Source organism: Homo sapiens, chromosome 16 (genome assembly GCF_000001405.40).
Source record: "Homo sapiens chromosome 16, GRCh38.p14 Primary Assembly".
In the NCBI taxonomy this organism is placed as follows: domain Eukaryota; kingdom Metazoa; phylum Chordata; class Mammalia; order Primates; family Hominidae; genus Homo; species Homo sapiens.
In genome coordinates, this window is record NC_000016.10 from 59,549,645 (window position 1) to 59,565,974 (window position 16,330).

The following is a 16,330-nucleotide window of genomic DNA, read 5'->3' on the forward strand; positions in this document are numbered from 1 at the left end:
AAGGTAATAATAGAGGTGATTAGGAAGATAGGTATAGCCAGAGCCTACAGGGAATTATATGCCAATTTGTACTTTTTCTTGAAGAAATTGGGAAACCATTGTAGTACATGGTAAGCATTTACAATTTAAAATATTTATAAAACAATATGTCTAACTCCAATAAATTAGTTCTAATTCAACCTTTATATCATCACATGTACTGGGCTCTAGATGCCAGTTAAAACCTGTACATGAATCATCACCACAAAAACACTAATGATAAAAAACACCAATATTAATTTTTACTGTATTACCTTTTATAGATGTATCCTCATATGTATAATGAGGATATTAGCAATGTCTTCCATGGAGCTATGGTGTGAAGGATTTACCCACCATTAAGGAATTATTCAATGATGCTTGTGAAAGCACAGTAAAGAAAAACCTTATTCAGCCCCATCGTGGTACACATGGGACCATGGTAATGGGTTTTTCCAGTGGGGGAGCAATTGGGCTCAACTCCAAACATAGCATGGGCAAGTAGAAATGTATAGCCAAGGAGCAGGGTGAGGGTCAGTAATTGGAAAATGACTAAAAGGAAATATCAGAGCTAAGGGGGATTCTGGCTAAACCAACCTAACAGGATTCTAGCTGAAGACAAGCCAGGGTGATCAGACATCATCTGAGGGGTGGTGAAGGATGAGGCACCTGATCAGATATCAAGGGTGGTCAGATACCCAAGGTGAGGAGTTCTTGCTAAAATGATTTGTCAGGGCTCTTTATCTAAACTGGATTTTACAAGGAAATGCACAGATGAGCCTAGGTGAAGATTCGATCTAAGGTTTTGACTGAAGTTTGGCCAAGCGAAGAATCTTTGTTACCATCATCTCACAGAGAGTAACTGTCAGGCAGGGTCTAAATCTAAGGCTGACCTTATCCAGATATTGGGCCTTTAACTGTGTAGCTACACTCTGTTCCTATAGCTAGTATAATGCCCTGCACCAATACTCAGTCACACATTTTAATATTTGTCCCCTAAAGTATCATGTCACTTTCATACTTTTTTCATTTTTAACATATGTGAATCCAGGAGCCAATTAGGTGTTAGTAAATGATGAAAACACTAAAGCTGTGGTATAGGTTGACCAGCGACATTCGGCTGCAGTTTGTTTGGCTATAAAAAATATATATATATAAACACAGACAAAGACCTAGAGGTAGATGCACACAGACATGCATACATAGACAGATTTTCTTCTTGATCTTCTTTTGAAAATCAATAATTTTGAATACTAAGCAGCTAAATTATTCAAATGAATCTCGGATTATCTGATGCCTTAGAACTGTTTTCTTCCCTCCAAGGTACATTCTGAATAGATTGACTATTTGACTTTAGGACTAAAAAAGTAAATCACCTCCTTGTCTCTTCAATTGTTATCACCTTCTTTCATATCTCTGTTTGCATTGCTGTGTATTTCCTGAAGCAAACAAAGAAACAAAAAAATTTATTTGTGTATAGTAATTGCAGATTGTGATTGATAAAAATAAATGCCAACTTTAGGTGGAGTCTATTCTCTTCCTGCAGGTGAAATTATGTAGAAGGTTTAGATTAAAGTGCAAAAAGCTTTGCACATTAATTTAAGAGAATATATTTACTATAACTGAGTATTTTAGTTAGACTTTTCTCTAGCTACTTCTAATATTAAGAAAGGCATTCTTATTTACAATTCAATCATCAACTCTTGCTTACATTTAGTAGCAAGCATTATACAAATGTAACTTCAACTATGTAAGGATTTCCCCTTAAAGTGTAGTCAAGCCCATCTTATCTCTCTACTTTTCTTGCATAGAATCTACTTAAAAGGAGTTTACAATTCACTGCCTACCCTACCTTGCCCAGCTATGCCTCAGCTTCCTGTATTCTTACTTCCTACATATTCATTGTTGCCCAGAAACTTCCCTCACTAATGCATTGATGATTTCTCTTGGTATAGTTTAGTGAATAATATTAGTTTTTATTTTAGCTGAACTCCTCATGGTCTTTGACTTTGATTTCTCTCGCCTGCTTAACACTTTGTGACTTGTGCTTCTTTGACACGCTGCTCTCTTATGGTTGTATTTGTGCCTCTAACAGTGCATTTTTAGGCTTTATTCTTAGATTCCTCTCTCACCTACTTACCTAGGAGGAATTCCCATCTTTTCCCTATGTCCAGCACCTTTGCTTCCTGTACACACTCTCTCCAGAGGAAAATTCCATCCACTCAAATTCCATGATGATCTTAAAACACGACTCTCAAATATTTCCAAAGCAGACCTCTTTCCTGCAATCCATTTCCATGTTATTTCTGTCTTCCTACTTGGAATCTTAACTAGAACATCTATGGGTACTTCTACTTCAAACTTTGTGTGTGTGTATGTGTGTGTGTGTGTATCTCCTACAGAACTGGGTTGTTCCAGATGAGTTTCTGGCAACTTTAAAGAGACAAAACAGGAATGATAATATAGATTTTTTTTTCTTTTCTTTAAAATCATATGTACTAAGTACTGTGAATGCTTTCTTCTAATTTTTATGGGTTTTTATTGTTTCTTCGGGGTTTTTTTGTATCCAACAACATATCTTTAGACTCGTGCATTTAAAAAATGTTTTATAAAGTACTTTCTGGACTATGAACTATTTTACCTATCTAATTATCATCTTTTTACTTGTAAAGAACATGGCTGCGCTTTGGCCAAGGATAGGTCAAGGTAAACATCCAGAGTGACTCAGCAAGTTTGGAGCTCAGGCGTGTAACTCCACTTGTTATCATAGCATGTAGCCATAACGTGGAAAGGCCATCCCTTGGTTCTAAGCCTCTATTGTCTGTAAAAGGTATAATTGCCCTGCCTACACTGTACAGGCACATTGGTGCCCAGAGAAAGAGAGAGAGAGAGAGAGAGTCAGAGCTGTCCATCTTTGCAAACAAACAAGGGGTTGGGGGGCAGAGAGTGCAGGATACAGCTTGGCTCGCTTGTGCCCAAAGAGAGAAAGAGTTAGGCTACTGACCCTGAAGGCAAGGGAGAGCCAGCTGCGCAGCCGTGTGTGTGGGAGCCATCAGACTATGCAGCCAAGACAGGATGGACAGTGTGAGAAAGCTGCTGATGAGAGCTGCTGCTGAATAAAATAATCTTTCACCTGCCTACCCGCCGCACCCCCCACCCTCCCGAGTGTTCTTTCTGCTCATCCACCCACTCCCTCAAACCTTAGCATGGTCTGAAACCTGACCCTGAGCATGACATTACTGTATTTCTATAATATTTTTTCTGTACCTTTCCCTTGTTGTGCTACCATAAGCACATCCCTTGCATATTTCTGTGATCCATGCCACACTGTATCATAGCCACATACTTAATCTTTTGTCTCTTATACTATGAGCTGCTTGGGTGAAATGAGTTCTTTTTGCCTCTATCGGTATCTCCTATGCAGGCTAATATTGGTGATAGATATAGGTCTATTCAGTGTATTTAGCTGCTGCCTAGTATTCTATCATATGAATACATTACATTATATTTATCAATTCCCAGTTAATATGCTCTTCAGTTATTCTCATATTTCATTGTTTCAAATAATGCTGCAACGAATATTCTGATGGTTTTCTAATCCCCAGTTTTCTTTTTATAAATATATTTAAATTAAGAACACTTGCTTAAGTACTAGGATGTTGTATTTCTTTTTAAAATATGGGAAACAAATGTATTTTTTAGCTGTTAGCAAAATGTAAATACTCCTATTTAGATAAGCCAGCTTAGTGTTTATGGTTGGCTAGATACTTTTAAGGATCTTACACTGGGTCCTATTATATACATGTTAACATGCCACCCTTCATTCTTAGTGTGTGTGTGTGTGTGTGTGTTTATATCTATATATCTATATAGATAGATATAAATAAAACATCAATATAGAATATATATTATATATATTCTTCGTGTGTGTATATATAACATTAATATATAATATATATAATTAATGTTACTGATCACATTGCTTTGTTTATAATGTTCATCTGCTTATATTAAGTATTTTTTTATCCTTACGCACATTTTGAAAAGGACTGTGGCTGAAACCATCATAATAAAACATATCCCTCTTTGTTCAAAGACCAGCTTATGTCTCTGCATTAATTTTCCTTCTTCTCTTTCACAGATAATTAATAGAAGATACTGGGAAGTACTTAACTTTACTTCAACCTATTTGAAGTTTATTACCCTTGTGACTCATGCATCACCACCACCAAAAATGGATAAACTGTAAAATCTACCAGAATAAATCCCCCTTTCAAAAACTGCAACTCCCAAACCTGCTAACAGTACATTTTCAGACTGCCCTCTCCAATAACTGTTTCCCACAGAGCAAAAAGCTTTTAGTGCATTGCAAATGATGCACTCTTCTCAGAAGCTTGATTCTCAAACTCTCATTTCTGATATGCTTCAGGTTGCTGCACTCTGATCTACTCATTCAGTGCTCTCTCTTCATGCCATTAATATGAAGCTTTCTGTTTTGACATTTAGTTGTTTCAGGAAATGGGCATTTGATTCGTGGAAGAAAAATCTGTATCTCTAAGAGAGCTGCATTGAAAAAGAAATAAAGGCGTAGTGTATTAAAACCCTGCTTATTTAGCAACCCTCTTAATTTCAGTGAATTGTTTAGTAGGTTTTATGCTGATAAAAGTCTGCATCATGATTCATTTTTCTTATGTTCCTTCCTAGATGCACTATCTTTCCATCTTTCACTCATTGCTGCACATTTTTTTCTGGATAGTGTCTTGCTTCTAATCAATCTTCTTACGATTTCTCTCCCACCCACCACCCTTTCTTGTACCCAAGGCTAATTCTTGATGTCTTCGTTGCATGGTGCAACAAGGAAAGTTGTTCTCAGCTAATATTTCATATGCGCCCCCAAATCTATCAGATCCTTTGCATTAAGGCAGGTCCACATTAGTTCTTGATGATGGGCTATTGGTGAGAGCAAAATAGGGAACTTCAATGGAAGCACGGAGGAGGGGTTAGAGTATGCTACCCTCTGTTGGTTTCTTTTTTAGCCAATGGAGAGCCTGGTCCCTGAATGACCTTGAACAGTACATGACAACATGTGATAGACAAATGGAAATAAAATCTGTTTTGTTGAATCCCTCAGATTTAGGGGGTAAATTGTTCCTGAAGCATACACTAGCCTGTCTTTGCTAGTGAACAAGTCATAGCTCTCTGGAGTCTTTCGGTTAGAGATCCAAAAATTGTTTGTTTCTCAAAGTCTTTCAAAATCAAATTTCACTCTCCTAATTTCATAGAACTTTATTCTGGATAATCTAATCTATTCAAATTCTTCTGTCCTTGACTCTGTTGTTGTTTTACTTTATTTTAATTTTATTTTTTCTATATTACTCTTTTGCTCACAGTCTTTCAATTGTTCACCATTGTTCTTAGGATAAATTTCAAACTCCTTTATAAAGCTTATAAAGTCCTTTTTGTTCTGGTTGTTCCTACATTTTCAGCTTCATTGTTTGCTGGTCTTCTGTTTTCCTTCTCTTTTTCCAGCCTGGAAGCCTTTTCTCCCTATCACTACCCCCAACCTACATACTGCTTTACCACCTCTGTTTTGTGCTACTATAGCACATCCCTGGCATACTTCTGTGATCAGTACCACACCATATCATAGCCACACGCTTAAACTTTTGTCCCCTATACTGTGGGCTGCTTGGGTGAAATGAGTTCTCTTTGCCTCTATTGATATCTCCTTGCATGTTGATCCTTATATGTGATGTCTGCTGTACATGTTGACCTGTATTTACAGGTTTCCACTAAACAGTGAGTTACTCAGAGACACCTGTTCTTGTCTCCAGTTTAGGACCTTTTGCAGATACTGCTAGGCAACATTATACTTGCTTCACCGTAGCTTTCATGCTGTATTTTCATTGTTTGGTTGCTTCTTCATACATGACACTAACTTGTAAGCTCTGCTTCAGTCCCTCTTGTTGGTGTGTGTTTTTAATGGCCAGCACGGGGCCTGGAACATGAAGAATGTTATTTAGAAACACTCTTAATTTCAGTGAGTTGTTAAGTAGGTTTTATAATGATAAAAGTCTGCATCATTTTGATTCAGCAGTGCACTGATCAAAATGTATTCTTCATGCTGGCGAAGGCTGTTCCCTTTTCTCTAAATGTTTTCTCTTCCCAGTACATATCATGTCTCTTCCAGGGGGCCTCCTGTATGATTTTATCCCACCGAGTTCTCTTAGTTTGAGATACTCTTATAGACTTATTCACTACTATCCATTTTAGTATTCTTTTCAACCTTAGTTGTTTAATTGCCTGAGTGTTTTTTTCCCAGTTATAACCTTTGTAAACAGGGTCGATTTAGAGTAAATTATGGTATTCAACAGACACTTAGCTTGATCTAAGTAGTATGTTGGAACATAAGTATAAATGAGGAAATGGTCTGTCCTCAGGACATTCGGAATCTAATAGATAAAATATAAGCAGATACACAGAGGTGACGATTTTACTTTTATAATAGATGTATGAGCAATGATCTGTGTGCCAAGATAGTGTAACTGCAAAAAATATTTTAATGTACAAAAACCATAGAAAACCTTTTAATAAAAAGCAATACATGAAATCATGGAAAGTAGAGTTATTCACATTGATTGTCAATCCTGGTCAAGTGAAGTAAAACCTCAGAGAATAATTTTATTCAGAATTTCTTGAACTAGGCACAGTGGCTCATGCCTGTAATTCCAGGACTTTGGGAGGCTGAGGCAGACAGATCACCTGAGGTCAGGAGTTCAAGACCAGCCTAACCAACATAGTGAAACCCCATCTTTACTAAAAATACAAAAATTAGCTAGGTGTGGTGGCAGGCATCTGTAATCCCAGCTACTCAAGAGGCTGAAGCAGGAGAATCTCTTGAACCCGAGAGGTGTAGGTTACAGTGAGCCAAGATTGTGCCACTGCACTGAGGCCCAGGTGACAGAGTGAGATCTGTCTCAAAAAAAAAAAAAAAAAAGGAATTTCTGAGTTCTGTTTTCATTATTTGGAAGGAAAGAAGGAAGGAAGGAAGGAAGGAAGTCAGTCCCATTGCTTTCCATCTCTTTTTCTTTAACTATTTCTTTTTACTTTACTGTTCTTACTTTTCTTTCTTCCCAACTTGCCATTTCAAGCCCCACCTACTCTACTCTCTAAAGATAGTTTTGATCATTTCTAGCCTTGCTGGTTCTATCCTCTCCACCCCAATACACACACATACACACACAATCTAATTAGCTAAACCATTTTTCCATCCTTAAATACTTCTCCATTTTTTTCTATATCCTTCTTCATCTTGGCCCAGTTAAAAGTATGTGGACAATAAAAATAGTGACATTATTAGTATTTCACTTGTGATCCAAGACTGTGCTAATTTTCTCTGTAGATGAATTTGTGATGCTTTAGAAAGATCATTCAATCTTCAGAGATATGTTGATTCTAAGTAGAAAGAGATAAAATACCTACTACTGTATCAGCACTGGGATAGTCATGAGAAAAAATGTAGATTAATGCCCTTACTAAGCTACTAAGGAAGGTGGTTTGTAAACCAACAGAGAGGTAAAAAGCCCAATTTATATGACACAGACTCTATTTAAAGAAAACTTAATTTTATATTATGAATATTCACTCTCCTATCTTATTCTGAACATAGGAAATAGCTCAGAGTTGTATTTATTTATTCCTCACTTTGTCCCAAAAAGGGATTTAAGATAGCTTATGAGGATATTAAAATACATCAAAGCACGTAATTAGAAATAGGTGAGAAAGTAGAAAAATAACAAGAGCAGCAACCTGATGGAGAACCAGAAATAGGGCAAAATAGAAGTATACTTTCAGAAAGTTTTATATACTTGCTACTATTTCTAAAATTTTCAGCAACCCATGTTGAAAAAATTTAATCAGCTATGACATTCATGATATTCAGAATATCAAAACAAACTATTGAGGAAGAGACGGTCAAATGAGGTAGGGTATTCTCCCAAGAGGGCTCAGGAAAGACACTATATAATATAATGCATAGCATTATCAACAATATTCACAACATCTTTGCAGTAACCATGGTGAGTTCCATAAAGCAGCTCCCTGTAGCATTCTTCTATATAGGCTGATGGTACCATATTAAATTAAAATTCAATGTAAGACACTGTTGTTCCTTTCTGTAGGAGGGGGTGGGGATGGAGGAGTAAGAAAGTCTAGCTCAATATGTAACAGTTTACTGGTCTGGCTGAATTATTGGTGGGGATTATAGACTACTGAGTGCAATGGGTTGTTATCATATTCTTCACTGAATCCTCAATAAGTATTATTTCAAACTGTTGCCCTTTATCTATGTAAAATTTGACGGCTATTTATTTGCCAATGAAATCAAAACTTACCTGACCTAACAGATATTCCAGTTAATAAGTCCAGAAAAGCCTTGCCTTGGTTGTGGGAAAATATAGGCAAAGGCTATAAACACTTAGCAATGGCTTTTAATCTACCAAACAGAAACAGGAGAACAAATATGTCTGAGGATAATAGAGAAAATACGCGTAAAATACTCTTTAAGGATATTGCCATACTTTTCAAATTTCTGTTAATTAATGTCTATCTAGATGTGGGCCTGTGAAAATTAGAGGGTGAGATCTGGGAGGTGAATCCTCAAATTTAGACATGGAAGAACTGAGTTTTATTTCTAGCCTTGAAATTAGTTCACTTAATTATGTTGTATCTCAATTTTACTATGTAATGACGGCTCTAGTATTTCCTCCTCCAAACATCTTATGACTGCATTGTCAAGTTGATCAAGTTGTTGGCATTACACAAGATTTCCACCTGGTCACAGGGTTCCACTGAGCATAATCAAACAAAATTTAAAATATACATAAATGATACTTTTCAAAAGTATCAGTCTTGTCATTGAACTGTATCTATTCCACAGTTACAGGCATGGAGAGGCAGAGACTCTCCCTTGGACGTAATTCTTTGCCTATTCTCTGCCTGAAAAGTTGCCCCTTCTCTTTGTTGACTTTCAGTCCTCAAGGATAATTTGAAAGGTGGAGCTTATGGGAGCCCTAACATGGTGATGTGATGTCTGTTTTCTAATGCTCATTTGGCCACTCACAGATGTCACATTCAACAATTTTATTTCCCCTTTGTGAGAATCAGTATCTTCCATGGAAAATCATAGATTGAATTGAACTGAGTTTTTTGATGATATGACAAATTTTCTGATCTTAACTATAAAGCTCATTATAAGAAAAGTACTTGGAGAAGACAAGACACCCATTGGATGAAATATTTATTTTGTATCAGGCATGTTGATATTTATCTAAACCTAACCATAATCCTTGAATAAAGAAGAACTGCAGCTATTTTTTTGAGAGACTTATTTACTACCTCTCAGCATCAAAATTATGCAGCTAGTGACTGGTAGAGCCCAGATTTCAACCCAGATATCCTGTTTCAAGCCCCCTACACTTTCACAGACGATGCTACCGTTCACTTTTTAAGATCACAACCAAAAGCTCTTTACATCTAGGGCATCCAAATAGTCTCGAATTTTATCACATTTCTTTTTTTTTTTTTTTTAGATGAAATAAAGTTTATATCTTTATTTTTATTTTTATTTTTTATTTATTTTTTATTATACTTTAAGTTTTAGGGTACATGTGCACATTCTGCAGGTTAGTTACATATGTATACATGTCCCATGCTGGTGCGCTGCAGCCACTAACTCGTCATCTAGCATTAGGTATATCTCCCAATGCTATCCCTCCCCCTTCCCCCCACCCCACAACAGTCCCCAGAGTGTGATATTCCCCTTCCTGTGTCCATGTGATCTCATTGTTCAATTCCCACCTATGAGTGAGAATATGCAGTGTTTGGTTTTTTGTTCTTGTGATAGTTTACTGAGAATGATGATTTCCAATTTCATCCATGTCCCTACAAAGGACATGAACTCATCATTTTTTATGGCTGCATAGTATTCCATGGTGTATATGTGCCACATTTTCTTAATCCAGTCTATCATTGTTGGACATTTGGGTTGGTTCCAAGTCTTTGGTATTGTGAATAATGCCGCAATAAACATACGTGTGCATGTGTCTTTATAGCAGCATGATTTATAGTCCTTTGGGTATATACCCAGTAATGGGATGGCTGGGTCAAATGGTATTTCCAGTTCTAGATCCCTGAGGAATCGCCACACTGACTTCCACAATGGTTGAACTAGTTTCCAGTCCCACCAACAGTGTAAAAGTGTTCCTATTTCTCCACATCCTCTCCAGCACCTGTTGTTTCCTGACTTTTTAATGATTGCCATTCTAACTGGTGTGAGATGGTATCTCATTGTGGTTTTGATTTGCATTTCTTTGATGGCCAGTGATGATGAGCATTTTTTCATGTGTTTTTTGGCTGCATAAATGTCTTCTTTTGAGAAGTGTCTGTTCATGTCCTTCGCCCACTTTTTGATGGGGTTGTTTGTTTTTTTCTTGTAAATTTGTTTGAGTTCATTGTAGATTCTGGATATTAGCCCTTTGTCAGATGAGTAGGTCGCAAAAATTTTCTCCCATTTTGTAGGTTGCCTGTTCACTCTGATGGTAGTTTCTTTTGCTGTGCAGAAGCTCTTTAGTTTAATTAGATCCCATTTGTCAATTTTGGCTTTTGTTGCCATTGCTTTTGGTGTTTTGGACATGAAGTCCTTGCCCATGCCTATGTCCTGAATGGTAATGCCTAGGTTTTCTTCTAGGGTTTTTATGATTTTAGGTCTAACGTTTAAGTCTTTAATCCATCTTGAATTGATTTTTGTATAAGGTGTAAGGAAGGGATCCAGTTTCAGCTTTCTACATATGGCTAGCCAGTTTTCCCAGCACCATTTGTTAAATAGGGAATCCTTTCCCCATTTCTTGTTTTTCTCAGGTTTGTCAAAGATCAGATAGTTGTAGATATGTGGCATTATTTCTGAGGGCTCTGTTCTGTTCCATTGATCTATATCTCTGTTTTGGTACCAGTACCATGCTGTTTTGGTTACTGTAGCCTTGTAGGATAGTTTGAAGTCAGGTAGTGTGATGCCTCCAGCTTTGTTCTTTTGGCTTAGGATTGACTTGGCGATGCGGGCTCTTTTCTGGTTCCATATGAACTTTAAAGTAGTTTTTTCCAATTCTGTGAAGAAAGGCATTGGTAGCTTGATGGGGATGGCATTGAATCTGTAAATTACCTTGGGCAGTATGGCCATTTTCACGATATTGATTCTTCCTACCCATGAGCATGGAATGTTCTTCCATTTGTTTGTATCCTCTTTTATTTCCTTGAGCAGTGGTTTGTAGTTCTCCTTGAAGAGGTCCTTCACGACCCTTGTAAGTTGGATTCCTAGGTATTTTATTCTCTTTGAAGCAATTGTGAATGGGAGTTCGCCATGATTTGGCTCTCTGTTTGTCTGTTAGTGGTGTATAAGAATGCTTGTGATTTTTGTACATTGATTTTGTATCCTGAGACTTTGCTGAAGTTGCTTATCAGCTTAAGGAGATTTTGGGCTGAGACAATGGGGTTTTCTAGATATACAATCATGTCGTCTGCAAACAGGGACAATTTGACTTCCTCTTTTCCTAATTGTATACCCTTTATTTCCTTCTCCTGCCTAATTGCCCTGGCCAGAACTTCCAACACTATGTTGAATAGGAGTGGTGAGACAGGGCATCCCTGTCTTGTGCCAGTTTTCAAAGGGAATGCTTCCAGTTTTTGCCCATTCAGTATGATATTGGCTATGGGTTTGTCATAGATAGCTCTTATTATTTTGAAATACGTCCCATCAATACCTAATTTATTGAGAGTTTTTAGCATGAAGGGTTGTTGAATTTTGTCAAAGGCTTTTTCTGCATCTATTGAGATAATCATATGGTTTTTGTCTTTGGCTCTGTTTATATGCTGGATTACATTTATTGATTTGCATGTATTAAACCAGCCTTGCATCCCAGGGATGAAGCCCACTTGATCATGGTGGATAAGCTTTTTGATGTGCTGCTGGATTCGTTTTGCCAGTATTTTATTGAGAATTTTTGCATCAATGTTCATCAAGGATATTGGTCTAAAATTCTCTTTTTTGGTTGTGTCTCTGCCCGGCTTTGGAATTGGAATGATGCTGGCCTCATAAAATGAGTTAGGGAGAATTCCCTCTTTTTCTATTGATTGGAATAGTTTCAGAAGGAATGGTACCAGTTCCTCCTTGTACCTCTGGTAGAATTCGGCTGTGAATCCATCTGGTCCTGGACTCTTTTTGGTTGGTAAGCTATTGATTATTGCCACAATTTCAGCTCCTGTTATTGGTCTATTCAGAGATTCAACTTCTTCCTGGTTTAGTCTTGGGAGAGTGTATGTGTCGAGGAAGTTATCCATTTCTTCTAGATTTTCTAGTTTATTTGCATAGAGGTGTTTGTAGTATTCTCTGATGGTAGTTTGTATTTCTGTGGGATCGGTGGTGATATCCCCTTTATCATTTTTTATTGCGCCTATTTGATTCTTTTCTTTTTCTTTATTAGTCTTGCTAGTGGTCTATCAATTTTGTTGATCCTTTCAAAAAACCAGCTCCTGGATTCATTAATTTTTTGAAGGGTTTTTTGTGTCTCTATTTCCTTCAGTTCTGCTCTAATTTTAGTTATTTCTTGCCTTCTGCTAGCTTTTGAATGTGTTTGCTCTTGCTTTTCTAGTTCTTTTAATTGTGAGTTAGGGTGTCAATTTTGGATCTTTCCTGCTTTCTCTTGTGGGCATTTAGTGCTATAAATCTCCCTCTACACACTGCTTTGAATGCGTCCCAGAGATTCTGGTATGTTGTGTCTTTGTTCTCATTGGTTTCAAAGAACATCTTTATTTCTGCCTTCATTTCGTTATGTACCCAGTAGTCATTCAGGAGCAGGTTGTTCAGTTTCCATGTAGTTGAGCGGTTTTGAGTGAGATTCTTAATCCTGAGTTCTAGTTTGATTGCACTGTGGTCTGAGAGATAGTTTGTTATAATTTCTGTTCTTTTACATTTGCTGAGGAGAGCTTTACTTCCAAGTATGTGGTCAATTTTGGAATAGGTGTGGTATGTTGCTGAAAAAAATGTATATTCTGTTGCTTTGGGGTGGAGAGTTCTGTAGATGTCTATTAGGTCTGCTTGGTGCAGAGCTGAGTTCAATTCCTGGGTATCCTTGTTGACTTTCTGTCTCGTGGATCTGTCTAATGTTGACAGTGGGGTGTTAAAGCCTCCCATTATTAATGTGTGGGAGTCTAAGTCTCTTTGTAGGTCACTCAGGACTTGCTTTATGAATCTTGGTGCTCCTGTATTGGGTGCATATATATTTAGGATAGTTAGCTCTTCTTGTTGAATTGATCCTTTTACCATTATGTAATGGCCTTCTTTGTCTCTTTTGATCTTTGTTGGTTTAAAGTCTGTTTTATCAGAGACTAGGATTGCAACCACTGCCTTTTTTTGTTTTCCATTGGCTTGGTAGATCTTCCTCCATCCTTTTATTTTGAGCCTATGTGTGTCTCTGCACGTGAGATGGGTTTCCTGAATACAGCACACTGATGGGTCTTGACTCTTTATCCAATTTGCCAGTCTGTGTCTTTTAATTGGAGCATTTAGTCCATTTACATTTAAAGTTAATATTGTTATGTGTGAATTTGATCCTGTCATTATGATGTTAGCTGGTTATTTTGCTCGTTAGTTGATGCAGTTTCTTCCTAGTCTCGATGGTCTTTACATTTTGGCATGATTTTGCAGCGGCTGGTACCGGTTGTTCCTTTCCATGTTTAGCACTTCCTTCAGGAGCTCTTTTAGGGCAGGCCTGGTGGTGACAAAATCTCTCAGCATTTGCTTGTCTGTAAAGTATTTTATTTCTCCTTCACTTATGAAGCTTAGTTTGGCTGGATATGAAATTCTGGGTTGAAAATTCTTTTCTTTAAGAATGTTGAATATTGGCCCCCACTCTCTTCTGGCTTGTAGGGTTTCTGCCGAGAGATCCGCTGTTAGTCTGATGGGCTTCCCTTTGAGGGTAACCCGACCTTTCTCTCTGGCTGCCCTTAACATTTTTTCCTTCATTTCAACTTTGGTGAATCTGACAATTATGTGTCTTGGAGTTGCTCTTCTCGAGGAGTATCTTTGTGGCGTTCTCTGTATTTCCTGAATTTGAACGTTGGCCTGCCTTGCTAGATTGGGGAAGTTCTCCTGGATAATATCCTGCAGAGTGTTTTCCAACTTGGTTCCATTCTCCCCATCACTTTCAGGTACACCAATCAGACGTAGATTTGGTCTTTTCACATAGTCCCATATTTCTTGGAGGCTTTGCTCATTTCTTTTTATTCTTTTTTCTCTAAACTTCCCTTCTCGCTTCATTTCATTCATTTCATCTTCCATTGCTGATACCCTTTCTTCCAGTTGATTGCATCGGCTCCTGAGGCTTCTGCATTCTTCACGTAGTTCTCGAGCCTTGGTTTTCAGCTCCATCAGCTCCTTTAAGCACTTCTCTGTATTGGTTATTCTAGTTATACATTCTTCTAAATTTTTTTCAAAGTTTTCAACTTCTTTGCCTTTGGTTTGAATGTCTTCCCATAGCTCAGAGTAATTTGATCGTCTGAAGCCTTCTTCTCTCAGCTCGTCAAAGTCATTCTCCATCCAGCTTTGTTCCGTTGCTGGTGAGGAACTGCGTTCCTTTGGAGGAGGAGAGGCGCTCTGCTGTTTAGAGTATCCAGTTTTTCTGTTCTGTTTTTTTCCCCATCTTTGTGGTTTTATCTACTTTTGGTCTTTGATGATGGTGATGTACAGATGGGTTTTTGGTGTGGATGTCCTTTCTGTTTGTTAGTTTTCCTTCTAACAGACAGGACCCTCAGCTGCAGGTCTGTTGGAATACCCTGCCGTGTGAGGTGTCAGTGTGCCCCTGCTGGGGGGTGCCTTCCAGTTAGGCTGCTCGGGGCTCAGGGGTCAGGGACCCACTTGAGGAGGCAGTCTGCCCGTTCTCAGATCTCCAGCTGCGTGCTGGGAGAACCACTGCTCTCTTCTAAGCTGTCAGACAGGGACATTTAAGTCTGCAGAGTTTACTGCTGTCTTTTTGTTTGTCTGTGCCCTGCCCCCCAGAGGTGGAGCCTACAGAGGCAGGCAGGCCTCCTTGAGCTGTGGTGGGCTCCACCCAGTTGGAGCTTCCAGGCTGCTTTGTTTACCTAATCAAGCCTGGGCAATGGCGGGCGCCCCTTTCCCAGCCTTGCTGCCGCCTTGCAGTTTGATCTCAGACTGCTGTGCTAGCAATCAGCGAGACTCCGTGGGCGTAGGACCCTCCTAGCCAGGTGCGGGATATAATCTTGTGGTGCGCCGTTTTTTAAGCCAGTCGGAAAAGCGCAATATTCGGGTGGGAGTGACCCGATTTTCCAGGTGCCGTCCCTCACCCCTTTCTTTGCCTCGGAAAGGGAACTCCCTGACCCCTTGCACTTCCCAAGTGAGGCAATGCCTCGCCCTACTTTGGCTCGTACACGGTGCGCGCACCCACTGACCTGTGCCCACTGTCTGGCACTCCCTAGTGAGATGAACCCGGTACCTCAGATGGAAATGCAGAAATCACCGTCTTCTGCATCGCTCACGCGGGGAGCTGTAGACCGGAGCTATTCCTATTCGGCCATCTTGGCTCCTCCCCCTCACATTTCTAATTATAGATATTTATTTGCTTAGAAGAGGAAGTTGACTATTAAAATTTTAATAAAAAGAAATGATAGTTATTAGATTAGGAAATATTATAATGTCACTCTAAAGCATGTTTGGTATATTCTGATAATAGATAATGAATTATAATCTTGCTTGTGCAACTCCTCGTTTAATGAAATGGCTATTTCTCTGTGTGACATTTCATTACAACACCAGAATCAAGGACTTGAGAATTTATTTTTCCCCCTATTATTCAAAAATATTACAAAATGCAGTTTCACTGTCATTAGGATGTACTTAAACCACAAGGTGTTACAAGATCTAATCTCTGGGATAATGTCTGCATTAAAGAATTTGTGTCAGCTCAACCCTTTCTCTTCTCTGTGAAGAATAACAGCATAACTAAATGATCTTTAAGATGGCAATAAAAGCTTTTCCTGCTTCACAGTTCATCACTGGCTTCTTTTCTGATGAGCTCTAAAAATTCTGAAAGCTAACACTTTGCTTTAGAGAGATGAGAGAAACATTTCCCCTCACTTGTTCAAACTTTTTCCAACTGTGTCTATTTCCTTCCCAATAATTGTACAGAAGATAGTAGACTTGAAAGAGGTATGCATTTGAATCTCTATGTTTCTAGTTCAAAATAGA